The sequence below is a fragment of the Homo sapiens genome, chromosome 7 (assembly GCF_000001405.40).
Source record: "Homo sapiens chromosome 7, GRCh38.p14 Primary Assembly".
Classification (NCBI taxonomy): domain Eukaryota; kingdom Metazoa; phylum Chordata; class Mammalia; order Primates; family Hominidae; genus Homo; species Homo sapiens.
The window spans coordinates 65,775,298-65,802,870 of record NC_000007.14 but is presented as its reverse complement, the minus strand read 5'-3'; the positions used below and the strand labels follow the sequence as shown (position 1 = coordinate 65,802,870).

The following is a 27,573-nucleotide window of genomic DNA, read 5'->3' as shown; positions in this document are numbered from 1 at the left end:
ATCCCAGCTACTTGGGAGGCTGAGGCAAGAGAATCGCTTGAACCCAGGAGGCGAAATTTGCAATGAGTCGAGATCACGCCATTGCATTCCAGCCTGGGCAACAAGAGTGAAACTCTGTCTCAAAAAAACAAAAAAGAAAAGAAACTCAATCATTAATATTTAGTTGCTCACAAGATTGACCCAGGAATAACACAGCAGCTAAAACCCAGCAAATTAGACTTCATTCAAGTACTTAGGTGTACTGTGAGCCACCATGGTGCCTCTCAACACCATGGAGGCAGTGGTCACTATTCTTGCACTGACAAAGACAGCTGAGTACAGGATGGGGGACTGCAGGGGCAATGGAGAGTGCCAGGACTGCAGCTCAGAGCCAGGCTTTTCCATCAAGGACTTACAGCCACGCCTGTCACCTCTAGCTAGAAAAACATTTTAGTAGAAATATCATTTTATTGTTTTAATTCCAGAAATGACTACAGTGGCAAATATAACTTACTTTTTTAATATTGTTGTTGTTGTTGTCGAGGCAGAGTCTCACTCTGTCGCCCAGGCTAGAGTACAGTGCTGTGATCTGGGCTCACTGCAGCCTCTGCCTCCCAGATTCAAGCGATTCTCCTGCTTCAGGCTCCCAAGTAGCTGGGATTACAGGCACCAGCCAACATGCCTGGCTAATTTTTAACATTTTTAGTAGATATGTTGGTCAGGCTGGTCTTGAACTCCTGACCTCAGGTGATTCACCTGCCTTGGCCTCCCAAAGTGCTGGGATTACAGGCGTGAGCCACCATACCTGGCCTGGAACTTACTTTTTAACAACAAACTTGGTTTTATTACTCCACAGACGATCCTTTCAAGTCATGGAATTCCAAACCAGGTAGGGCTTGGAAAGGAAATTCTGTCTGGCAAGCCTTCTACATACAGGAACTCGGGGTTTGATTCAAACACAGAATATGGTACTTTTACTGCCTCAGTGAGTCCAAGAGCTTGAGCTGAAAGTGCAGGAGAACATAATTTGTAGAAGATAAAATTTGACACACACATTCTTTTATTTGTATCTGCATTCTCAAGTACATTATGAACAAGTTCCCTACAATCGAGCAATAGTCACTTCATATTGAAGGCATTTTGCTTAGCATATTGGGCAAATCTGAAGAACAAGCCTAAAAGATAAGTACTTTCAGGAGGAATATTTTAACACTTTTCTTTGTTTTTTTTTTCTTTGAGATGGAGTCTTGCTCTCTTGCCTAGGCTAGAGTGCAGTGGTGTGATCTCAGTTCACTGTAATCTCCACCTCCCGGGTTCACGTGATTCTCCTGCCTCAGCCTCCCAAGTAGCTGGGACTACAGTCACACGTCAACACACCCAGCTAATTTTTTGTATTTTTAGTAGAGATGAGGTTTCACCATGTTAGCCAGGATGGTCTCAATCTCCTGACCTCAAGTGATCCATCTGCCTCGGCCTCCCAAAGTGCTGGGATTACAGGCATGAGCCATCGTGCCCGGCCCATGTTAACACTTTCAATCAAAAGGAGAGTTATGTTATCAGTCAAAATGACCTCTGTGTTCTAAGAAGAGATGACCGAAGGCCATTCCATACAGCAGTGGCCCTTAGCAGCCTTTGCATTCTCATCAAGAGGCAGGGTAGCTGTTCAAAGACAGGTGGTATCTATGACGCAACTAAGCAGTACTCAGTAAGTTCAAGTCATCAGACACAGAGTAGTCAGGATTCCTGATAAGGGGCAGGAAACGTCAGCACCAGGTATTGAGATAATGGACAGGAATGTCCGGGAATGCTGCAAGTGCTCCCCACTCCTTACTTCCTTCTCCATGACAGATACACCCAATCAACTGAAACACACTTTCTTGCTAAACCTCCTCAGAATTGTTCAAGACAGCAGTCCAGGAAACTGCTGTCAACAAATCTCAGTATTTTTCACACGTGTGTTAGCCAGATTAGAAGTACAGACGGTGGAATGACACTTATCCCAATGCCTCCCTTCCTCTCCCATTCTGACACATGAGAAAGCTGAATCCAAGAGAAATGAAGTTGTCTGCTTGGTTTCAATAGCAAGTGTAGTAGTAGAAATAAACCAAAGCCCGGTTTCTGGGACCTTCCTTTTTTAGGTCCTGAATTTCTATAATTCATTCAGACATGACCCTTCATTGATATGTTATTAAATTAAAGACATATTGTAGGGGAAGGACTATGAGTCCCTTCATGTCTACATCAAAGAGCAAGACTCTTGTCTCCAGAAAATAAAAAATACAAAAATGTTTTAATTTAAAAAAAAGTGTGATGGTTTTTGGCAATGTTTAAATAGAAGATAAGAGTATCACTTTCAAATAAGCTGACACTTTCTGAACATGTAATAACCAGGGTCACAGAATCACAGAGGCCAGTGAGAACATTAAAAAGTACCCCTGTGAGCCCCAGTGACACATACACCACCAGGAAAATTTCCTGTTCCTGTCGCTCCAACGAATCCACAGCAACATAATATCAGCAAGTAGCACGATCTGCCTCCCCTACCTCCAGGAAGCCACAGGGAAAGTGGAGAGCAAAGGGACCATTCCCTGTGTCACTGATAAGTGAGGCTCAATGGGAAACATGAGGCATGAGGGGCATCCAAAGGTAGGTGACAAGTTCAGTGTCTCCCCTTTGTCTTCCTGCTTCATGTATTATCGGCATCTTCTGCTCTTTTCATGATAAGGAAGGAGGCAGCAACAGCATGTCTACTGTGGAAATGTGGGACTACTCATCGGGCATCATGGAACTTAATGTAGAAGTTTATACAGCCCTGGGAAGCTTTCAGAACCTGGTCTCCTAAGGCTCCTGGTTTTCTAAGGCTCTTGAACAGGCAGTAGACTGTGAACCCCCAGGAGTTCACACTGGTTTTCTAGGGTCTTCACACTGCTAACCGCAGTCATGGCAACTCCCTCATTTCCTTTTTAAACAATTGTTTTCCCAATTATCCCTTTAAAATTGGGCAGTTTAGGCTGGGCATGGTGACTCACACCTATAATCCCAGCACTTTGGGAGGCTGAGGCAGGCAGATCACTTGAGGTCAGGAGTTTGAGACCAGCCTGGCTGACAATGTAAAACCCCATCTGTACTAAAAAATACAATAATTAGCTGTGTGTGGTGGTGGATACCTGTAATCCCAGCTGCTTGGGAAGTTGAGGCATGAGAATCCCTTGAACCCAGGAGGCAGAGGTTGCAGTGAGCGGAGATTGTGCCACTGTACTCCAGCTTGGGCAATAGAGCAAAACTCAATCTAAAAAAAAAAAAAATTGGGTAGTTTAGAGCCTCTGGTATAGCGAGTGTGCACAATGATTCGTGATGATGAGCTATTAAACATCATTAACTAGGCTATGGTGGTTTTTTAAAATCGTGACTGGCTAGGCGAGGTGGCTCATGTCTGCAATCCCAGCACTTTGGGAGGCTGAGGCGGACGGATCACCTGAGGTTGAGAGTTAGAGACCAGTCTGACCAACATGGAGAAACACTGTCTCTAGAAAAAATACAAAATTAGCTGGGTGTGGTGGCGCATGCCTGTAATCCCAGCTACTCAGGAGGCTGAGGCAGGAGAATCACTTGAATCCAGGAGGTGGAGGTTGCGGTGAGCCAAGATTGCGCCATTGCACTCCAGCCTAAGCAACAAGAGTGAAACTCTGTCTTAAAAAAAAAAAAAAAAGAAAAAGAAAAAAAAGAAAAATCAATACCCAGCAGATGGTGAGACATCCATAATGTGACCAGGTGCCAAGGAATGTCCATAAGGATGGAACTGCAGTCAAGTCTCCTGAATTTCCTTCCTTGGGCCCCTTCCCTGGGCCCACCCCCTACCCATATAACCACATCCTCACTTTTCTCCCCTAAACACAAATCGAGGGACACTCAAAGCAAGCATAGTACTCACTTCTTAACCAATCCATCCCTTCTTCCATCCCCAACACATGGAGAGAACTTATGTTAGCCTTGTAAATAAGAAATACTTACCATCCCACAGTTATTTTTCCAGTCTGCCTTTTTTTAACCACTCACCTGGCAGAAACTTATTCTCCTGGCCAGTAGCTATTTGTAAAACTGGTCTGCCTCCCTATTTTCACATCAAAGATACTAATTCTTTAGTAGAAAGGGGAGTATTCTAAATCAGACAATTAGCAGATCACCTAGAATTTCCACCCCCTCCACAGAGGCACACAAACAAGAGAATTAACCCAATTTGCTGTCTATAATAAACAGGATGTTCTACTCACCACTGAGCCCCAGAGGTTGTTACTAGATGACTAATCCCTAGCAGTAATGGCTACAATGGCCCAGTTCCCTATTGTATTACTGTGTGCAGAAATTTGAAAGGCACTCTTCTCCCACCCCCATCTTCCCTAACATACTTTTGCACATCAATCCATTAAGAATCTGAAGTGTAATTTATCTTATTCACTATTATCCTGTTAAATTGCTCTACAGCTGCCATGGGAGTAATTGCGGTGATTAGTGACTCAGACTTCTTGAGCAAAGGGCCTTAAGTAGGTTTCATTATTAAAACTTCCAAAGGTTTTATTATTGAAATAAACCTGAGATAGAGCAGTATGCCTCCATAGGGCAGTCATACTAATGATTCTTAAGTTACGAAGGGATGTCAGACCCATCAACAATGTTGCGCTTGTGAGTATGACTAACTGGGAATTTATCAACGAATAAAACCAACTGGCATTCTAAGAATGAAGAAGAATAATCTCATTTTAAGTAGCATATGAAGTGCTGTGCAACCCTTTAAAAAGCTGCCTTTGGCTGGGCGCGGTGGCTCATGTCTGTAATCCCAGCACTTTGGGAGCCTGAGGCAGGCAGATCACCTGAGGTCAGCAAATAGAGACCATCCTGACTAACACGGTGAAACTCCGTTTCTACTAAAAATACAAAAAATTAGCCAGGTGTGATGGCACATGACTGTAATCCCAGCTACTCGGGAGGCCGAGGCAGGAGAATCACTTGAACCCAGGAGGCGGAGGTTGCAGTGAGCCAAGATCATGCCATTGCACTCCAGCCTGGGCAACAAAAGCAAAACTCCATCTAAAAAAACAAAAACAAAAACAAAAACACCTGCCTTTGGCCAGGCACAGTGGCTCAGGCCTGTAATTCCAGCATTTTGGGAGGCCGAGGCAGGTGGATCATATTTACCTCCTAAATATCTCTCAAAACCTCGCTTCCCCTTCATATTCACTGGCACCTCCTATTCAGCATCTCATCACTCATTCAACAATATTTAATGAGTATGAAGCATAGCTAGGTGTTTTTAAACAGAATAAAAACAGTGTGATCTTTGTTTTCTGGTGGCTCAACATCTAGTTATTTCTTTTTTCTTTTTTTTCCAAGACAGAGTCTTGTTCTGTCACCCAGGCTGCAGTACAGTGGCGCGATCTCGGCTCACTGCAACTTCCGCCTCCTGGATTCAAGCAATTCTTCTACCTCAGCCTCCCAAGGAACTGGGAATACAGGTGTGCACCACCACGCCCAGCTAATTTTTCTATTTTTAGTAGAGATGGGATTTCATCATGTTGGCCAGGCTGGTCTCCATCTCCTGACCTCGTGATCCACATGCCTCAGCCTCCCAAAGTGCTAGGATTGCAGGCGTGAGCCACCGCACCCAGCAAACATCTAGTTATTTCTTATCTGAACTATTCACGTACACTCTTGTCTCTTACCATTCATTCACAGAGTAATACCCAGTCTGGGAATGGTAAGAGACAAAAGTATACCTGGGTACACCATGCCAATAGTACCCAGAGTGTCTCCTCCTCAAAACTGAGATTTTATTCAGGGGTCAGTAAACTTTTTCTATAAAAACCAGAGAGTAAATATTTTAGGCTTCTGGGCCATATGTTCTCTGTTGAAACTACTCAACTCTGCTCTTGTAACATTAAAAACAGCCATGGACAATATGTAAACCCATGGGTGAGACTGTGTTCCAATATGGTTTATTCATAAAAAAAGGCATCAGGCTAGATTTGACCCATGGGCCACAGAGTTTGCCGACCCCTGATTTAATTGCAGTGCTTCTTACTCCATTGGAATTATCCAGATTCCTTTCCATAGCCTAGAAGGTGCTCCATCCTCATCTGAGTATTACTTGCTTCTCCAGGATCCACTATGCTCCAGCCACCCTGACCATCTTTATGGTGCTTAAACACCGTGCCAAGTCCACTCACATCTCAGGTCCCTGCACTTCATGTTCTACCCATCACAACCACTCTTGCCCAGTGAGCTGCCTCAGCTCAAATGTCACCTCCTCAGAGAGGTCTTCACTGCCCACCCCAATAGGTCAGTGCCCATCCTAATGCCCAAACTTTCTAACTCCCAAAGCTCTATTTATTTTCTTCAAATTACTTATCACCGTCTGAACACATATCATTTGTTGCATGTATATAGCCTGCTTCTCCACCACCACACCACCACCACTAGAACGGAAGCTCCCCGAGAAAAGAGACTGTCTTACTCATTCTCCCCTTAGTTCCCAGCACCTAGATCTGTGCCTGGCACTTGGCAGGGGCTCAAAAAATATCTGTTATTGGCTGGGCACAGTGGCTCATGCCTGTAATTCCAGCACTTTGGGAAGCTGAGGTAGGCAGATCACCTGAGGTCAGGGGTTCGAGACCAACCTGGCCAACATGGTAAAACCCCATCTCTACTTAAAAAATAGAAAAATTAGCGGGGCATGGTGGTACACACCTGTATTCCCAGCTACTCGGGAGGCTGAGGAAGGAGAATCACTTGAATCCGGGAGGCAGAGGTTGCGGTAAGCCAAGATCACACCATTACACTCCAGCATGGGCAACAAGAGTAAAACTCCATCTAAAAAAAAAGAAAGGAAAGAAAGAAAGAAAGAAAAGCAAAGGAAAGAAAAGGAAAGAAAAGAAAAAAGAATATGAACAGTTGGCGAGATCAAGACTTCCGGCCCAAAGGGCCTGCAGCTGGTCTGACCATTCATCAAAAAATCTGAATTTAAATGGAGACACATTGGACTGTCACATGCAATAAAAGAACTGAAGCAGCAAATGGTCTTGATTTGGGTTTCGTCCACCCTACATGACTCCAGCAAATGGAGGAGTGAGCGTGCCTGCGGTGCTCCTGACACATCTAGGGTAGTTCCTATTCACAGTGGTCAACCTTTGGGATTTTCCACACCTCACAGGGTCATCATCCATCTAGGCTAACCTAGAATGTCCAGATAGAAGCTCCTGTTTAGAGACTGGAGAGAAAATTGTCAAACCTGAAAGCCCATGAACTGTCTCAGCCAGGGGAGAACTCACGTAGGAAAGACTACAGAGTGATGTCAGAAGCCTAATTTCAGATTGACCTGTACAGCTTTACGATTGTGAGTAATTAACTTACTTTTGCTAGGCTCTGTTAGTCTCACATCAATAATGAGAAAGCGAACCGAATAGTCTCCCAAATCCCTTTCAATTTTAACATCCTCTGACTTTATGATTAAAGAGTGATACTAATAAGGCTAAAACTGTGGCTTAACCCCAATAGGAGCCTGCTGGGATTATGCTAAGCAAAACTATTCCACACAGACAGAGCCATTCTGACCATGTCCCTCCCTACACCAGCTAACATACAGATATGCACCACTGGTGTGAGAAGTCCCTCCTACAGAGGACATTGACTGATTCAATAATAGGCTGATTTAGTCATTCAACCAAGAAATATTTACTGAGCACCTTCTAGGTATTTAGGGATACAACAGAACAAAACAGACAAAATCCCTTTCCTTATGGAGCTTACGTTTTAGTGAAGAAGAGTGGGGGAGTCAGACATCAAATAGGAAATGAGTTGAGGATACATTTTACGCAGAGCACCCTGGAGGCACTTTTGATAAGGTGATTTTTGAGCCTCAATCCAAAGCAGTGAGACAGTGAGCCATGCAGACACTAGGGGAAGAATGTTCCAGGCAGAGGGAACAGCAAGGCCCAGAGACAGGACAGGGTCAAGCATGCCTGGAATGTTAAAGGAAACGCCATGAGCTCAGTGTTTATACAGAGGAGTAAGAGCAGAATAGCAGGAAGCACAGTGAGACAGGTAGTAGGGGGCAAGATCATGTAGAAAACAGAAAGCCACTGGAGAGTTTGAACAGAGGGGTAAACATGATCTAAATTCCACTGAAAAATGACTGTTCTAGCTGTTGTGTTGAGAGTAGACAGGCTGGGTGCAGTGGCTCACACCTGTAATCCCAACGCTTTGGGAGGCTGAGGCAGGCGGATCACTCGAGGCCAGGAGTTCAAGACCAGTCTGGCCAACATGTCAAAACCCTGTCTCTACTAAAAATACAAAAGAATTAGCCAGGCATGGTGGTTTGTGCCTGTAATCCCAGCTACTAGGGAGGCTGAGGCAGGAGAATCGCTTGAACCTGGGAGGCGGAGGTTACAGTAAGCAGAGATCACAGCATTGTACTCCAGCCTTGGTGAGAGAGCAAGACTCTGTCTCAAAAAAGAAAAAAAAAAAGACAGAATAGACTGAAGGAGGCAAGCATGGAAACAAGAAAACCAGTTAGGAGACTACTGAGATAAACCAGGTGAGAGATGATGGCAGATGGATCCAGGGTGGCAGCAGTGAGGAATGAAGAGGGACAGACTCTGGGATATATTCTGAAGTTGAATCAACAGGACACTGGAGGACAGGATGATCTTGGAAAATCTTGGGACTACTGCAGAATTGAATGAGGCTAAATGGCACTAAATTCCAACATCCACTGTGAAATCCTGGGATTAGGGATTTGTTCATCTCTGTCACCTACTGTCCCACCCAGTACTTGGCACATAATGAAGATATAAAAAGTCCTCAATTCTTGAATAAATGTGGAACTGAATATATTACAAAGCCAGAAAACCCTGCAGTTTGATAGGTCATTAGGAGACCAAAAAGCATCTGGTACTAGACATATTTTACTAACAGAGTCTTGCCCTGTCGCCCAGGCTGGCAATGGCATGATGTCAGCTCACTGCAACCTCCGCCTCCCAGGCTCAAGCAATTCTCATGCCTCAGCCTCCCCAGTAGCTGGGACTACAGGCACTCACCACTAAGCCCAGCTAATTTTTTTGTTTTGTTTTGATTTTTGTATTTTAGTAGAGATGGGGTTTCACCATGTTGCCGAGGGTGGTCTCAAACTCCTGAGCTCAGGCAATCCACCCACTTTGGCCTCCCAAAGTGCTAGGATTACAGGTGTGAGCCACTGCACTCGGCCTAAATCTATTTCTTTTTATAAAAAATTTTCCTTACTATGGCCAGACACGGTAGCTCATGCCTGTAATCCCAGCACTTTCGGAGGCCGAAGCAGGCATATCATGAGGTCAGGAGATTGAGACCATCCTGGCTAACACGGTGAAACCCCGTCTCTACTAAAAATAAAAAAATAAAAATAAAAATTTCCCTTTATAACTCATTTCACAGTAGTAACCAATGAAGCTGACAAACAACTTCACATTATACAGGTGAGATGTGAACAACTTGGCCATTTCCCTGAGAGGCCAGATGTAGTCACCAAACCTCAGCAACTCCCACCTAAAATACAGGGATAAGTATTACACAAGTAGTAAGCCCATGTTCTTATAAATAGTAAATCATGGGCCGGGCACAGTGGCTCACGCCTGTGATCCCAGCACTTTGGGAGGCTGAGGCGGGTGGATCACGAGGTCAGGAGCTCAAGACCAGCCTGGCCAACATGGTGAAACCCCGTCTCTACTAAAAATACAAAAATTAGCCAGGTGTGGTGGTGGGTGCCTGTAATCCCAGCTACTCAGGAGGCTGAGGCAGAGAAATGCTGGAACCCGGGAGGTGGAGGTTGCAGTAAGCCAAGATTGTGCCACTGCACTCCAGCCAGGGCAACAGAGGGAGACTCCATCTCTAAAATAAAATAAAATAAATAAAATAAAATAAAAAAATAAAATAAAATAATAAAATAAAATAAAATAAAATAAAATAAAAAAATAAAGACAAAGGATGTCACTTACATGGACACGTGTTCAGGGCTTGTGTGGAGGAGTTGTGGATGATGACGAAAGTCGACCTGGAGACAATGGAGTCTGACTGGAGTTACTGGATGAGGAAAGGAGAGAAAGAGAGAGAAAAGGAAAAGGGTAAGGGAAGTGGAAGATTGCCTCAGTGTGAAGGTCATCTCTGATTGCTGACAAAGGCAGTGGAAAATGTTGGAGAAGGTCTGAAAATACTGCTAAAGGTTGGTGGTTTCAGAAAATCTTGTAACATTTCCTTTACTTTAAAACTTAGCATCTCAAGGGTTTTTAGTATGAGTTTTTTTTTGTTTTGTTTTGTTTTTCCCCATGGATTTCAGAGTAGTTGAACCATTCAGCCACAGAAAATAACTCCGGTATCAACCACATTAGAATATTACCAATAAAGACATGGGACTCTCCTCCTCTGAGGTCGAGCACGTCTATTCACTTGCTGCTCAGCCTCCTCTTCTGCCCACCCTCACCTCCTTTTCTGGCATCTGCTCCTCCCAGGGAGGACTTCACACCCTCCTCACAGAGCCAGCTGCCACCTCCCACTCTTCGAGGCTCCATCACATGCCTGGCTCCACCACCTTCTCGTGTGTGACATCTACCTTTCACCAAGCTGAGGACACAGTGCACCCATGGTGTGTTTAAGGAGACAGTTCTGATGGCCACAAAATTCTTTTGTTATGTGGTCTGTGATTTGAATTGCCCTGTCCAAAGACTAATGCATGGTTCATGGTCAGGCCAAGTAAGGTTATGCTGGAATGAGAAACCACCAAGCACCTTTAATTCCTTCCAAGATCTTTTAGGAGTGGGACAAAGTCAAGTGCTGGGTTAGTGATGGCAAGAGAGGAGATTCTCTCTGCTGCACTCTGGTGATGATGGCAGGTCCAGCACTGCTCCAGCACCCAATCCTTGCAGTGTCTTCTATGGCACTTGCACATTCTTTATATAATACGGGCTTTGCAGTCTCAGTTTCTGCAATCACTGTCACAACTGCCCCTAACAAAAGCAGTGACTGCATTCCTCACAACCTTGAATTTGAGCTTTGTCTTGAGAAATGAAGGTTTCTACAGGTTTCTTCATGTTCACATTAATCCAAACTGAAGATTTACCTCCAGGAATATTTTTCTTTCTCTATTACTTCCCTTAGCAAAAAATGTGTAACTTCCAATCTTCAATTCTTCACCAATGCTTTGATTCTTTGGCTAAATCAAACGCATGCTGAGGGCCAGGCACAGTGGTTCACACCTGTAATCTCAGCACTTTGGGAGACTAAGGCAGGCTGATCACAAGGTCAGGAGCTCAAGACCAGCCGGGCCAACATGGTGAAACCCCATCTCTTCTAAAAATACAAAAATTAGCCAGCATGGTGGTGTGCACCTGTAATCCCAGGTACTGGGAGGCTGAGGCAAGAGAACTGCTTGAACCCAGGAGGTGAAGGTTACAGTGAGCCAAAATCATGCCACTGCACTCCAGCCTGGGCAACAAAGCAAGACTCTGTCTCAAAAAAAAAAAAAAAGAAAGAAAAAACATGCTTAACCTATGAGTTAAGCACTGAGTTTTGTCTTCTCCACTGCAGGACTCCTGGACAAGGATTATTTTCTTACCCTACTATAGAATTTCTCAACCACTTTCCATGCCATACTCCACACAAAATCTATTTGGCACACTGACTGACCTTCACTAATTGCCCCAAGATACTGTGAGAGCTGAAGGAGCAGTATTTCAGGACACACCCATTAACCCAACTTGAGAACATTTATTCACTGTAGTATTAATGAGAATGATTAACTGCACAAATTTGTAAAGACCTAATATGCACACATAATTCATACTTGATTCCCAACACTTATTTCCTGACAATAAAAACCTTCATACTAAATGGCTAGTTATTGGTTCTTGGCAACTTAAATTCCTAAGGTGGTAGATAATCTACAAATTGTGGTCACTTACTCTGACAGTGCACAATGGCAAACAAAAAGATGGGAAAGAAAGAAAGCTCTAATAAAGAGCTCTAACAAAGAAAATAGGCTGGGCACGGTGGTTCACACCTGTAATCTTAACACTTTGGGAGGCCAAGGTGGCAGATCACCTGAGGTCAGGGGTCCAAGACCAGCCTGGCCAACATGGCGAAACCCTGCCTCTACCAAAAATACAAAAATTAGTTAGGCATGGTGGCACAGGCCTGTAATCCCAGGTACTTGGGAGGCTGAGGCAGGAGAATTGCTTGAACCCAGGAGGCGGAGGTTGCGGTGAGCCAAGATCGCACCATTGTACTCCAGCCTGGGAAACAAGAGCAAAACTTCGTCTCAAAAAAAAGAAAGAAAAGAACATTGTTTGTTCAGTGGGGACTTCTTAGATCTTTCCTATTAGGCTGTGATATTCGTGTGCAGGCCAGAGTTACAGTATTTGCCATTTTAGGAACAGGGCTCATATGAATAAACATTAAGGTCCAAATGCGGACAGTAACTGCTATCCCTGAACAGTTGTGTGGCTACTTGAAACTGAAATATGCTGTGAGTATGAAAGACACATCAATTATCAACAAAAAGAACATACGCAAATGAAGTAAAGAATGTTAAATACTTCATTGTGTATTTATTTATAATGATTTCAGGTTGAACTCGAAAATGTAAAATTATGTATGTGGCTTGCATTTGCAGCACACATTGTATTTCTCTTGGATACCACTGGCCAAAGTTCAAAGCTTAATGCTGGGTGCGGTGACTCACATCTATAATCCCAGCACTTTGGGAGGCTCAGGCAGAAGGATCACCTGAGCCTAGGAGTTTGAGACCAGCCTGGCCAAAATGGTGAAACCTTGTCTCTACACAAAATACAAAACTTAGCCAGGCATGGTGGCGCACGCCTGTAATCCCAGGTACTCAGGAGGCTGAGGAAGGAGAATTGCTTGAGCCTGGTTGCAGTGAGCCAAGATCACACCACTGCACTCCAGCCTGGGTGACAGAGTGAGACTCTGTATCAAAAAAAGGAAGAAAGAAAAAAAGCTTCAGTTATCCCTACACTGCATATGTGCATATTGATAAATCAAGAAGTGCCTGTATTGAGCTTCTGCAAAAGATTTTTTGGGGAGGTGAAGGAAGGAGCAGTTCCATCATTTTAAAAGATTAATTTTTAAAAGCTTCAAGATTAACCTGTGCTTTTAAAAAGGATTTCACAACTATTTTACCTGTTGTATTTGTTCTTGGCTGAGTAACTACAGTTGTATTGTGAGTAAGAAGTTCTGGACCATAAATACATAGTTGATATTAATATTATAATAAAGCATTTAGAAGAAATTTACAGGCCTTTCTCACACAGTTGTGCACTGCTAATTATTATTATTATTATTATTTGAGACAGAGTCTCATCCTGTTGTCCAGGCTGGAGTACAGTGGTGCGATCTCGACTCACTGCAACTTCCGCCTCCCAGGTTCAAGCAATTATCCTGCCTCAGCCTCCCGAGTAGCTGGAACCACAAGTGCACGCCACCACACCTGGCTAATTTTTGTATTTTTAGTAGACATGGGGTTTTGCAATGTTGGCAAGGCTGGTCTTGAACTCCTGACCTCAGGTGATCCACCCACCTCAGCCTCCCAAAGTGCTGGGATTACAAGCGTAAGCCACTGTGCCTGGCCAATTTTTAAACATAATCCATTCTGCCTTCATTTTATAGTGAAAATAATCATTTTGGTGACTTGAATTTTGAAAATAGCAATTTTCAGACATTCAGGTGAGACCAGCTGGATGTCTCCAAAGTCATCTTTTTTTAAGATAAATATGCAAAAGTCACTTTTCCCCCAAACCAGCTCAATTCTGTTTCTGAATCTTAGATGAACGGTCTCATAGCAGAGCCAGAAGCAGCTTGCTGTATCATCTTAAACCTTTCCCCTCCATATACAACTCAGTCCCAATGAATACACACAGATGCACAACCTCAATCAGTAAGCAAGACTCAACCCACTTCAACATTCCTTTCACGAGTAGAGAGAGGCCTTCTGTTCCTATCCCCAACACTCAAACTACCCATGTATTACCCTTCAAAATTAAGCCAGAATAACCTTTCTAAAGGGTAGATCCAAATTATTTTAAGAGGGAACTGCTATGAGACCATTTAATGACTGCCACTGCTTTTGTAGGATCTAAGGCCTTCCTCCATTTGGCCACCCAAGTCTATCTATGCAATCCCACCATGCCCACATGGCACTCCTCCCTCCACACAGAATGGGTGAGGTATGTGAATATGTGGGCATATTTGACATCTCCCTGCCTTTACTCATATTTGGAACACGTTCCCTCCCTTCTGGATGCACAAATGACTGATCTGGGTATGCCATCCTTGCCTTCTCCCCTAAAAATGCTCAATAACTCTTCATTGCATTTTTCATAATATTAAGCCTCCCAAGGACAGGGTTCTTGCTAGACCCAATTTTGCACATCTGATACTTATACTAAATACATGTTTGTTCAATAAGTGAATCTAAATGTTAATTGTAAATATAAGGAAGTCATAATGAGAGGGGAACAAAAGGCCCTTCCTCATCGAATTAATCTCTCCTTAGGGAAGACACTGAATTTGTTTCTGCAGATTATCATCTTACCTTTTAATAAGAAATTTAATTCGATTGCCCACTTGAATGATGTTTTCCAGCCTTGGGATTCCATACCACGAGGGACTTCTGAAAGGAATGTTTTCTGGTAGTCCTTCCGCATACAGATCATTCGCATGGCCTTCAAATTTTTGGTACAGTAGAACCTTGGCTTCAGTGCTCCCCAAGGCTTCAGCTGAACAAAACCAAAGCAATTCAGGAGACTATGCTTGTGTTGAAATCAGATTTTAGTACAATCCAAAGCAAGGTGCAGGTCAATTTTTTTAAATTGGAAAAACTCTAGAAACATATTTACTAACTATTGAAGCAGGCTTAAAGCAAAGGCAAGTATAAATGACCCATTATTAGACAGATCAATGAGACAGAAAATTAACAAGGATATTAAGGACTTGAAGTCAGTTCTGGACCAAGCAGACTTAAGACATCTACAGAATTTTCCACCCCAAATCCACAGAATATACGTTCTTCTCAGCACCACATCACACTTATTCTAAAACTGACCACATAATTAGAAGTAAAACACTCCTCAGCAAATGCAAAAGAATGGAAATAATAACAAACAGGCTCTCACTGCATAGTGCAATTAAATTAGATCTCAAAATTAAGAAACTCACTCAAAACCGCACTACATGGAAACTGAACAACCTGCTCCTGAATGAGAACTGGGTAAATAACGAAATTAAGGCAGAAATAAAGATGTCCTTTGAAACCAGTAAGAACAAAGACACAACATATCAGAATCTCTGGGACACGTTTAAAGCAGTGTTTAGAGGGAAATTTATAGCACTAAATGACTAATGCACTAAATGCCCATAAGAGAAAGCAGGAATAATCTAAAATATAATATTTATGCAGCTAACAAACATGAAAAAATGCTCATCACTGGTCATTAGAGAAATGCAAATCAAAAACAATGAGATACCATCTCATGTCAGTTAAAATGGCAAACAATAAAAAGTCAGGAAACAACAGATGCTGGAGAGGATGTGGAGAAATAGGAACGCTTTTATACTTTTGGTGGGAGTGTAAATTAGTTCAATCATTGTGGAAGACAGTGTAATGATTCCTCAAGGACCTAGAACCAGAAATAACATTTGACCCAGCAATCCCATTACTGGGTATATACCCAAAGGATTATAAATCATTCTACCATAAAGACACATGCACATGTATGTTTATTGCGGCACTATTCACAATAGCAAAAACTTGGAACCAACCTAAATGCCCATCAATGATAGACTGGATAAAGAAAATGTGGTACATATACACTATGAAATACTATGCAGACATGAAAAAGGATGAGTTCATGTCCTTTGCAGGAACATGGATGAAGCTGGAAACCATCATTCTCAGCAAACTAACACAAGAACAGAAAACCAACAACTGCATGTTCTCACTCATAAGTGGGAGTTGAACAATGAGAACACATGGACATGGAGGGGAACATCACACACCAGGGCCTCTCGGGGAGTGCAGGGTTAGGGGAGGGACAGCATTAGGAGAAATACCTAATGTAGATGACAGGCTGATGGGTGCAGCAAACCACGATGGTACGTGTAACAAACCTGTACGTTCTGCACATGTACCCCAGAACTTAAAGTATAATAAAAAATAATAATAACCAAATCCTGCCCCCAATCCAAGGCCACAAATAATTTAATTAAAGCCTATAAAATAGGACACACAGAAAAGTCACTCTGTTTCCTTGACTCCACAACTTGTATGTGTGGCTTATAATGCATTTACTTTATTATCAGTCTCGATAAACTCTGGGGGAGAAAGCCGGGGGTAACACACCTAATCCTTTCATGAAATGTCTAACATGCCATTGAGTGTGTGGGATCTTTTCTCAAGCCCCCATGCCTGAGTGCCATTTGCTGATGGCCCTTCCCCATGATTGAGGAAGCTGGGTCACTAGTTGAACACTAAGTACAAGACAGCATGAGAGTCATGCTTGCAGCTGCAGTTAGCTGGAGGGCTGGTATAAGGCACTGCTCCATGATTGTATATACTGAGTTCTGCCATCTTAGTGATATCTGTATATGTTTTCTATCTTTGAAGATACTTGCATTTTTACATATCAGAATCTCAAGGCTGAGAAATAAAAATTTTAAAAATTAAAAAAAAATAATAAAAATAAATGACCCATTATTACCAACCAGATTTTGGCAGATTTAAGTGTCCTGATCCTAAGACAATCTTAATAACTCTAAGATCTTAAAATATTAAACTTTGTTTTTCAATATTCTTAGGAAGAAGAGAAAAAAATTATAGACGATAAAGAACACAACCTGAATACTATTTGTTTTTTTTTGTTTGTTTTTTTTTTTGTTGTTTTGTTTTGTTTTTTTCCAAGATGGAGTCTCGCTCTGTCACCCAGGCTGGAGTGCAGTGGCATGATCTCGGTTCATTGCAAGCTCCGCCTCCTGGGTTCAAGTGATTCTCCTGCCTCAGCCTCCTGAGTAGCTAAGATTACAGGTGCCCGCCACCACGCCTGGCTAATTTTTGTACTTTTCAGTAGAGATGGGGTTTTACCATGTTGGCCAGGCTGGTCTCAAACTCCTGACCTCAAGCGATCTGCTCACCTTGACCTCCCAAAGTGCTGGGATTACAGGTGTGAGCCACCGCAGCTGGCCTGCAAATACTATTTGGAAGCAGCCTTTTGCCACTATCTGCTTGTGAAATTAATAACCCTCCTCCACTGGCTGCTGCAAACAGGCATATTTCAGGCTGAATTTTCATCCACACTGCAACCACAAGATCAATGTTCTTTACCCCTTCAACCTCATGAGCATGCTGTTTTAAAAGAAATAACTTTCCACAAAGAATTCATGAAATGGGAAATAAAAATAGTAAGCAGAGGCCAGTTTTGATTAAAAGAGGCATAACAACCAAAGTTAGCACATGAAGACTGTTTGGACCCAGATTTAAAGCAAAATTTTTCAGATAATGAGGAAATGAGATACTGTTCAGGTAAGAGTAAGGAAACTTGGCCAGGCATGGTGGCTCACACCTGTAATCGCAGCACTTGGGGAGGACGAGGTGGGCAGATTACCTGAGGTCAGGAGTTCGAGATCAGCCTGGCCAACATGGTGAAACCCTGTCTCTACTAAAAATACAAAAATTAGCTGGGCATGGTGGCGTGCGCCTGTAATCCCAGCTACCCAGGAGGCTGAGGCAGGAGAATTGTTGGAGCCCAGGGGGCAGAGGCTGCTGTGAGCTGAGATTGCACTCCAGCCTAGGGTGACACAGCAAGACTTTGTCTCCAAAAAAAAAAAAGAGTGAGGAAACTCAACTAAGGGTTACAGATGAGCTGACACCAAAAAATCATTGTAATTTTGTCAGATGTGATGAGATAGTAGCTGTGTAAGAAAATGTTAATGCTGTTCGGGGATGCACACTGAACAGATAAAATGATGGTGATGACTGATTTGCTTTACAATATTCCTGCAAAGGGAGGTAAAGGAATAGAAGAACAAAATGTGGGACAATCTTAATGATCACAGAAATTGAGGAATGGGTATTTTAGCGTTCACTGTACTATTTTCTCTACTTTTGAATAGGTATAAAAACTGTAATTTAAAAATGTAAAACAAGGGCCAGGAGCGATGGCTCATGCCTGTAATCCCAACACTTTGGGAGGCTGAGGCAGGTGGATCACTTGGGTCAGGAGTTCAAGACCAGCCTGGCCAACATGGTGAAAGCCTGTCTCTACCAAAAAAAAAAATCAGCCGGGTGTTGTGGCAGGCACCTGTAGTCCCAGCTACTCAGAAGGCTGAGGCAAGAGAATTGCTTGAACCTGGGAGGCAGAGGCTGCAGTGAGCCAAGATCGTGACACTGCACTCCAGCCTGGGCGACAGAATGAGAATCCACCAAAAAAAAAAGTAAAAATGAATTGACTAATCCCTGCTCTGAAGCCACATCCAAACAAAACTCTAAAAAGAAAGATTCAAGCAATTTATATCGTGCTATTTATATATAGATCTCCCTTGTACCTCTGTATGTAACATTTAAATATTTTGCAGCCTGATGGTTGGGAGTGGCTCAAAGCTGGGCATGGTGGCATGTGCCTGTAGCCCCAGCTATTTAGGAGACTGAGGCAGGAGGATAACTTGAGCCCAGGAGTTCTAGTCCATCCCAGACAACATAAGACCCTGTTTCTTTGTTTCTTTTCTTTTTCTTTGTTTTTTTTTTTTTTTGAGATGGAGTTTCATTCTTGTTGTCCAGGCTGGAGTGCAATGGTGCAATCTTGGCTCACTGCAACCTCTGCCTCCTGGGTTCAAGTGATTCTCCTGCCTCAGCCTCCCAAGTAGCTGGGATTACAGGTGCATGCCACCACGCCCCGCTAACTGAGTATTTTTAGTAGAGATGGGATTTCTCCATGTTGGTCAGGCTGGTCTTGAACCCCCCACTTCAGGTGATCCACCTGCCTCAGCCTCCCAAAATGCTGGGATTACAGGTGTGAGCCACCGCACCCAGTGGACCCTGTTTCTTTAAAAAGAAAAGTCGGGGAGCTCTCAGGGAGCTCACTGATGAATTATTTTGGTGATATCAACAATTGCTATCAAAACACAACTATAAAATCCAAAATTATAGGCTGGGCATGGTGGCTCACACCTGTAATCCCAGCACTTTGGGAGGCTGAGGCAGGCGGATCACGAGGTCAGGAGATCGAGACCATCTTGGCTAACACGGTGAAACCCTGTCTCTACTAAAAATACAAAAAAAAATTAGCTGGGCATGTGGTGGGCACCTGTAGTCCCAGCTACTTGGGAGGCTGAGGCAGGAGAATGGCGTGAACCCGGGAGGCGGAACTTGCAGTGAGCCGAGATCGCACCACTGCACTCCAGCCTGGGTGACAGAGCGAGACTCCGTCTCAAAAAAAACAAAACAAAAAAACAAAAAAACAAAAAAACCCAAAATCCAAAATTATATCTATTGCCAGATCTTTCTCCTTACTTCCAGACTTATTTATCCAACTGTCTCCTTCACCTCCACACCTCAACTTAAATGTCAACTTGAAATTAATTAATTAATAAATAATTTAATTATTTATTAATAATTAATGTCTTTGTTCTTAGATCGGCTTTCCTCTAACATCTCAAGATTTGTCTCAAATTCTTACTTCATGATATTAGCACCAAATCTGAAGGGCTCTAGTACAGGAACTCTCTGAGATCAGAAACACATGTATTTTTGAGAAACCACACAAAATGAAATAATTATCATAGCTGTAAAAAGAAATATGCCCATAAACAAATCATAGTAAAGGATTAGAGGCTTTCAGTCACACTAGAGAGTGATGTTAAATAAAATTATTCTGTTAATTCAACAAGGAAATATATAAGCCTAATTCTAACAAAGTTTTTATAAAATAAAAAAGAACCAATTGGAGTTGAGAGTAAAAAGTGAAGTTTAGAAAGAGGCGAGGCCAACTACAGAACGTGCTCATCACATATCATCAAGGCTGCCCCAATCACAACCCCTGCTTCCCCATTCCCCTTATTCTACTTAATTCTTTCCCAGACCTTATATCTTCTTACAGAGTAAATATCCCCTACTTACTATACGTTTCCCCAGCAGATTGAATGCTCCAGAATGCACGGGGCAGGGCACTGTCTTCTGCACTGCCCAGCTCCCCCCGCACCTGACTCACAGGTAACAAATGACTGCAGGATTATGAGGTTGGAAGTAGTGAATATTTCTTGAATACTTGCAGTGGTTCCCAGCAATGACAAATCTAAGATTTCCTCTCTCCCTTTCAGGAACCTTAAAGAAAGCAGCAATACTGTCAGAGGTGTTTGAACGAGAACCACTTGATCTTAAATAGAAGCTGGGTAAAATGAGGCTGAGACCTACTGAGCTGCATTCCTAGATGGTTAAGGCATTCTAAGTCACAGGGTGAGAGACGAGATCAGCACAAGATACAGGTCATAAAGACCTTGTTGATAAAATGAGTTGCAGTAAAGAATTCAGCCAAAACCCATAGAAACCAAGATGGTGACAAGAGTGACCTCTGGTTGTCCTCAATGCTACACTCCCACCAACACCATGACAGTTTATAAATGCCATGGCAACATCAGGAAGTTACCCTATATGGTCTAAAAAGGGGAACCATAAAAATAATCCACTCCTGGCCAGGTGCGGTGGCTCACACCTGTAATCTCAGCATTCTGGGATGCCAAGGTAGGTGGATCACCTGAGGTCAGGAGTTTGAGACCAGCCTGGCAACGTGGTAAAACCCCGTCTCTACTAAAAATACAAAAACAAATTAGTTGGGTGTGGTGGTATGCACCTGTGATCCCAGCTACTAGGGAGGCTGAGGCAGGAGAATTGCTTGAACCCAGGAGGCAAGGTTGTAGTGAACCAAGATCACACCACTGCACTCCGGCCTGGACTCCATCTCAAAAAAAAAAAAGAAAATAGTAAGAGAGGCTGGGCGTGGTGGCTCACAATTGTAATTCCAGCACGTTGGGAGGCTGAGGTGGGTGGATCACCTAAGGTCAGGAATTCGAGACCAGCTTGGCCCACAAGGTGAAACTACATCTCTACTAAAAATACAAAAATTAGCTGGGCATGGTGGCAGGTGCCAGTAATCCCGGCTACTTGGGAGACTGAGGCAGGAGAATTGCTTGAATCTGGGAGGCGGAGGTTGCAGTGACCTGAGACTGCGCCACTGCACTCCAGCCTGGGTAACATGAGCGAAACTCCGTCTCAAAACAGTAAGAAAAAACTGGAGCTGAGTCCTGCTCATTATATTTACTTTCCTAAAATAAAACAACATTATAAAAAACATTACTCAGTAATATACTTTAGTTGAAAGGGGAAAAAAGAGACTTACCAAATTTTTTTGCAGAAAAGCTGATCCACCATCTTTCTTCATTTAGTGATTCTGGCATACCATTCTTCCTTTACTGTCGAAATCACAGGAATACAAGTTTTCTCAATTTAATGGGTTTAATAGCTCGGGTTATTAAATATTGTTATTATAAAATAGTATTATTTTTTCTTTTCCTGTGACTAAAATTATTTCTAATATCCAGAATGTATTTATTACTGAAACAATGCTGACACACACTGCACAAAAAAGGAAGAACCAGACATTCATTAAAGCTGGGAAAAAGCAGAACTCAGTGTGCTCAAGAACCACTAGCAGGCCGGGTGCAGTGGCTCACACCTGTAATCCCAGCACTTTGGGAGGCTGAGGCGGACAGATCACCTGAGGTTGGGAGTTCAAGAAGAGCCTGGCCAACATGGTGACACCCCAGCTCTACTACAAATACAAAAATTAGGCAGGCGTGGTGGCAGGTGCCTGTAATCCCAGCTACTTGGGAGCCTGAGGCAGGGAGAATTGCTTGAACCTGGGAGGTGGAGGGTGCAATGAGTTGAGATCACACCACTGCACTCCAGCATGGGCGACAAAGCAAAACTCCATCTCAAACAAACAAACAAACAAAAAACAGCTAGCAGGTGCCATTTGCTATGGGGAGACTAGGGATATAATCTTGCAGCAATCCTTCCATTTCAGTAAATCTAAACAGTGTGATTCCATTCTGTTTTGTCCCCACTCTACTCCAGAGCCAAAACAAATAAGAAAATCCGTTATATTTCTATTTCTTTCAAAACACATCTAACAATTAAGAGATGATATGCATGGCTCCATACTCTAAAAGGAAGCCTCTTATGTCCTGGGTATCATGGACATTTGAGGAATGTTTGTTCAGTTGTCTGGTGCAAGCTTCAATAATAACCTGTTCAATGCATTATGCCAGACAACTTTTGCATCTCAAAAGTAGGAAAAATATTGTTCTTTTAGTTCTGTCTACCCATAAATGCAACATTTACATGTATTTATAATGGGTTAATACAAATAAAATGAGTTTACTGTTCTAGAGAGTATTAGAATTTTGACAACATGAATTCTCCTGTCCTGGCATGTAATTAAATGTTAGAGGAATATTATTTCATGTGGAAGATACCATTAAAAAATCAATGTTAAGCATTAAATAATTATTTCACATAATCTTCTAATCTGACTTAAGACTGAAGACCTACCTCCTGAAGCTGGTTTATCAAGTTGTAAATCTTCACGTGTTGAATTCACAAGTTCATGTCTGCAAGGTGAGAATAAATACTTAATATTCACTAGGCAATATTCAGCAAAGTAATATCCACTAGTACATATTTAACATTTAATCACCAAGGGTGGCTTTGGAAAGAAAAGACAGGCTGGGCACGGTGGCTCATGACTGTAATCCCAACACTTTGAAAGGCTGAGGCAGGCAGATCATGAGGTCAGGAGTTCGAGACCAGCCTGGCCAACATGGTAAAACCCATCTCTACTAAAAATACAAAAATTAGCCAGGCATTGTGGCAGGTGCTTGTATTCCCAGCTACTCAGGAGGCTGAGCTAGGAGAATCACTTGAACTTGGGAAGCAGGGGTTACAGTGAGCCGAGATCACACCATTGCACTCCAGCATGGGTGACAACAGCGGAACTCCAGCTGAAGAAAAAAAAAAAAGAAAAAGAAAAAAAGAAATATCCCATTACTTTAAGGCAATGCAGATACAGCCAGAATTTCTACAGAAATCTGAACCACATTATAAAGCCAAAAAAATACCAGCTAATATCATTTAAAACATATAGTACTAAATGGAATAGGTAATATTTTCATTTTTTTTTTTTTTTTTGATACAGAGTCTTGGAGTGCAACGGCACGATCTTGGCTCACTGCAACCTCTGCCTCCTGGGTTCAAGCAATTCTCCTGTTTCAGCCTCCCGAGTAGCTGGGACTACAGGCGCCCACCACCATGCCCGACTAGTTTTTTTTATTTTTAGTAGAGATTGGGTTTCACCATATTGGTCAGGCTAGTCTTGAACTCCTGACCTCAGGTGATCCACCCACCTCAGCCTCCCAAAGTGCTGGGATTTCAGGTGTGAGCTACCGCACCCGGCTGGAAAAGGTAATATTTTCCACACATAAACATTAGTGTAACTATTGGACTTAAAAAAATACTTTTTTTTAGTAAGAGAAGCAGAAGATGCTCCTGAACTGCATCATTTCAACTAGCATTTATTTACTCATGATTAAAATACTACAACAACTATAAAAAGTCAAGTGATGGCCAGGTGCAGTGACTCATGCCTGTAACCCCAACACTCTGGGGGGCCAAGGCGGGTGGAGCACCTGAGGTCAGGAGTTTGAGACCAGCCTGGCCAACATGGCAAAACCCCGTCTCTACTAAAAATACAAAAATTAGCTGGGCATGGTGGCTCTCACCTGTAGTCCCAGCTACTAGGGAGGCTGAGGCGGCAGGATCGCTTGAACCTGAGAGGTGGAGGTTGCAGTGAGCCATGATCACGCTGCTGCACTCCAGCCTGGGTGACAAAGCAAGACTCTGTCTCAAAGGAAAAAAAGAAAAAGTCAAGAGCATAGGGAGTATTAAAATCAGACATAACCAATGGTCTCTCATCTGAACAGCTCCATTTTTTTGCTATCATTATGTGTTAAGGTCTATTTGCTAAACATTACTATTTGTACTAAAGTTTCAAGTGTATCCTATAACACATTAGTGCTGACTTAGGTTTAATGTCCTTTGCTGTACACTATACTTGAATATCATACTTATATATCACAACAAAAGTATCTTTCTCTAAGGCAATTACCATTAATACTGCTTTAAAATTACAAAATGTGGGCCAGGTGTGGTGGCTCGCGCCTGTAATCCCAGCACTTTGGGAGACCAGGGCAGGTAGATGACGAGGTCAAGAGATCAAGACCATCCTGGCCAACATGGTGAAACCCTGTCTCTACTAAAAGTACAAAAATTACCTGCGCGTGGTGGTGCACACCTGTAGTCCTAGCTACTCTGGAGGTTGAGGCAGGAGAATCGCTTGAACCTAGGAGGCGGAGGTTGCGGTGAGCCGAGATTGCGCCATTGCACTCCAGCCAGAACAACAAAAGCGAAACTGTCTCAAAAAAAATATATATATATATATAAAATGTGAAGATTGTTTTTATAGTTTCACAACAACTGAATATTAATGTCTTTAAATAGTAAATCACCATCACAACAAAAGCCCCACAACATAATCTGTTTCATTTTATAAAAAGCACTGACATTTATAAAATTGTCATAGTCAATTTATAAAACTGTAATAGCAAATTATTTTTACTCAGAATAGTACTAAATTAACAATATAATAAAAACATAGGCCGGGTGTGGTGGCTCACACCTGTAATCCCAGCACTTTGGGAGGCCGAGGAGAATGGATCATTTGAGGTCAGGAGTTCGAGACCAGCCTGGCCAACATGGTGAAACCCTGTCTCTACAAAAATATAAAAATTAGCTGGGCCTGGTGACACACCCCTGTAATCCCAGCTACTTGGGAGGATGAGGCAACAGAATCGCCTGTAATCCCAACTATTCGGGAGGCTGAGGCAGGAGAATCGCTTGAACCTAGGAGGTGGAGGTTTTAGTGAGCTGAGATTGCACCAATACACCGCAGTCTGGGCAACAGTGTGAGACTCTAACTCAAAAAAAAAAAAAAAAAGGATAAAAGTAGAGACAATAGAGGCATCTTGGTGAATACCGAATTTAACAAAGCAGATTAAGAGAAACAATTAGTTTCAAAAAATAATATTCAATTAAATCTCTAAGATCCAGGGCTTTGCAATAAACATGTAAATAAATCCCCAATATCCATGCTGAAAGTTTAAAAGAAATGCTAAAGAAATAAAACTTTTCCTTAGTTTTGCAGTAATCTAGAAACAAAGAATGTTTCTAATATTTAGACAGAAACTACAAAGCACCTTACAAGGAGAGACGTGTAAGGATGGCAGGATTCACCAGCAGCCCTGGGCTTGTCCACAGTACTCCCATGATGAACAATAACTCCATTGTGTAAATGCTTATGAACAAAGTATTACAGGACTTTTCCAATTTAAACATACCATATTTTCTGTCAGACAATTCTTCAACTTGTTTACATAGATCAGCGATATGATTATTCCACTTCTCTGAAAACTGAGCAAAAGTTGATTCTCAATAATATGTCCCTATGTCAGAGCAGCAATAATATATAATGACTTATTTCCTATATTTTACATACTAACAGTCCATATCATTTTACTGCTTTCGAAAACATTTTTCCCTTTTTTGGTGGTTCTTAGAATTAGTTTAATAGGAGACTACAAGAGAAGTTTTAAAGTTTAATGCCTTTTTTTAGCCTTTAATTTCTGAAAAGGAGGGCAGAAAAGATCAATCAAATTAAACACGACAACAGGGAGGCCACAATGAGGAGGTCTCCAGAGGCCTTTTCGCAAACTTCCTAAAACATGTCTCAGCTGTGTGGAAATAAGGCTTTACAGCAGCTGGGTGCAGTGGTGCAGGCCTGTAATCCTAGCACTTTGAGAGCAGAGGTGGGCAGATTATCACTTCGAGCTCCGGGCAACAAAGCAAAATCCCCCCTCCCCTCCCCAACCCCCTGCCTCCGCCCCCGTCTATGCCAAAAATATAAAACTTAGCCAGACATGGTGGCAGGTGCCTGTAGTCCCAGCTACTCAGGAGGTTGAGGCAGGAGAATCACTTGAACCCAGGAGGCGGACGTTGCAGTGAGCCGAGGCCATGCCACTGCCAGCCTGGGTGACAGAGCAAGACTCCGTCTCAAAAAAGAAAAAAAAAAAAGATTAAGTAAGAGGGACACCAGACCTTAAAAATACAAGTTTAAGAGGGACCCTGACTCAGCGTGGTGGCTCATGCCTGGGACTTTGGGAGGCCGAGGCGGGCGGGTCACGAAGTCAAGGGATCTAGACCATCCTGGCCAACATGGTGAAACCCTATCTCTACTAAAAATACAAAAAATTAGCTGAGAGTGGTAGGTGCGCATCTGTAGTCCCAGCTACTCAGGAGGCTGAGGCAGGAGAATTGCGTGAACCCAGCAGGCGGAGGTTGCAGTGAGCTGAGGTTGGGCCACTGCACTCCAGCCTGGGCAACAGAGCAAGACTCTATTGAGGCAAGGTTTCTCATTCTCAGGTCCGAGGGGTTCAATAACTGGGCCCTTAGGGAGGTGTGAGCCCCCTGAAACGATGCAAGGTTTTGTGTGGAGAGTGTGCACATGCGTTTCCGGGAAAACAGCCCACAGTTCTCATTCTCAGCAGGCTCCACACTCAAAAAAGGTTAGACTCTTGCTACAGAGCTGTGGGAGCAGCTAGGTGAGGGGCCTGCCAAGGGCACTCTGGGGACTACCTGGGCAGTCTTGAGCCCACCTGGGCAGTCCTGAGCCCACTGTCCCCTAGGCAGGCTGCGCTGCTTGGTATTTGCAGAGCTGAGGGGGTGGGGCATGCGGGACTGTGAAATCGCCCTGAGATGACCCACAGCACTCAGCTGGGAAGTGAGGGGTGTGTATCCTGCAGCATCCTCCATCCCTAGGGCCATGGGGCCAGGAGAACTGACCCTTGCAGCAAGTGAAAAGCCTATCATTGACTCCCTCCCTGGCCATGCAGACAATGAACCAAAGGCACTCAAATCAAGTAAATGCCTTGGTCTCTGTGACCGACGTGACCAGTAGGCATTCCCAGGTGCAGGGAAGGTCCTGACACCAAGATATGCACCTGGTTGCCTGAGGAAAGCGAAAGGACTATCCAAGGGGTTGGGGCTGAGCTGGGTGTGGAGTGGTCCTTGTGGGTCATGGTGAGTGGGAGGGGGAGCAGCATGAGCCAGGCCTCGGGGCAGGAGGACAACCAGGAGATGGCCTGGAAAAAGTGCTGGACCCACGAGGGTTCAAGGCTGGCCAGAGAGGGAGGTGGGATAGGCTGGGAAGTCCCGAGGTCTGAAGATTGGCCCTGGCAGGCAGAAACCAGGAAAGGTGGGCAGTTACCTGCACCCTGGGGGCCAGATGCATCCTTAGCCTAGAGCAGGTGCCAAGATTTCTGGCTCTGGGTGTGACCTAATTC

General features: G+C 43.3%; 1 pseudogene, besides 2 other annotated features; it reads right to left on the bottom strand.

The window, feature by feature from the left end:
- The window catches only part of GTF2IP5 (general transcription factor IIi pseudogene 5), a 28,473-nt pseudogene continuing 1,678 nt past the window's right edge, over nucleotides 779-27,573 (bottom strand).
- Nucleotides 26,480-26,979: an enhancer, noted in NCBI's record as "H3K4me1 hESC enhancer chr7:65240879-65241378 (GRCh37/hg19 assembly coordinates)". NCBI's record gives its function as "activates a minimal SCP1, AML or CMV promoter by ChIP-STARR-seq in naive H9 embryonic stem cells {active_cell/tissue: H9 hESC(naive)}" and the evidence as "EXISTENCE:reporter gene assay evidence [ECO:0000049][PMID:30033119]".
- Nucleotides 26,980-27,481: an enhancer, noted in NCBI's record as "H3K4me1 hESC enhancer chr7:65240377-65240878 (GRCh37/hg19 assembly coordinates)". NCBI's record gives its function as "activates a minimal SCP1, AML or CMV promoter by ChIP-STARR-seq in naive and primed H9 embryonic stem cells {active_cell/tissue: H9 hESC(naive and primed)}" and the evidence as "EXISTENCE:reporter gene assay evidence [ECO:0000049][PMID:30033119]".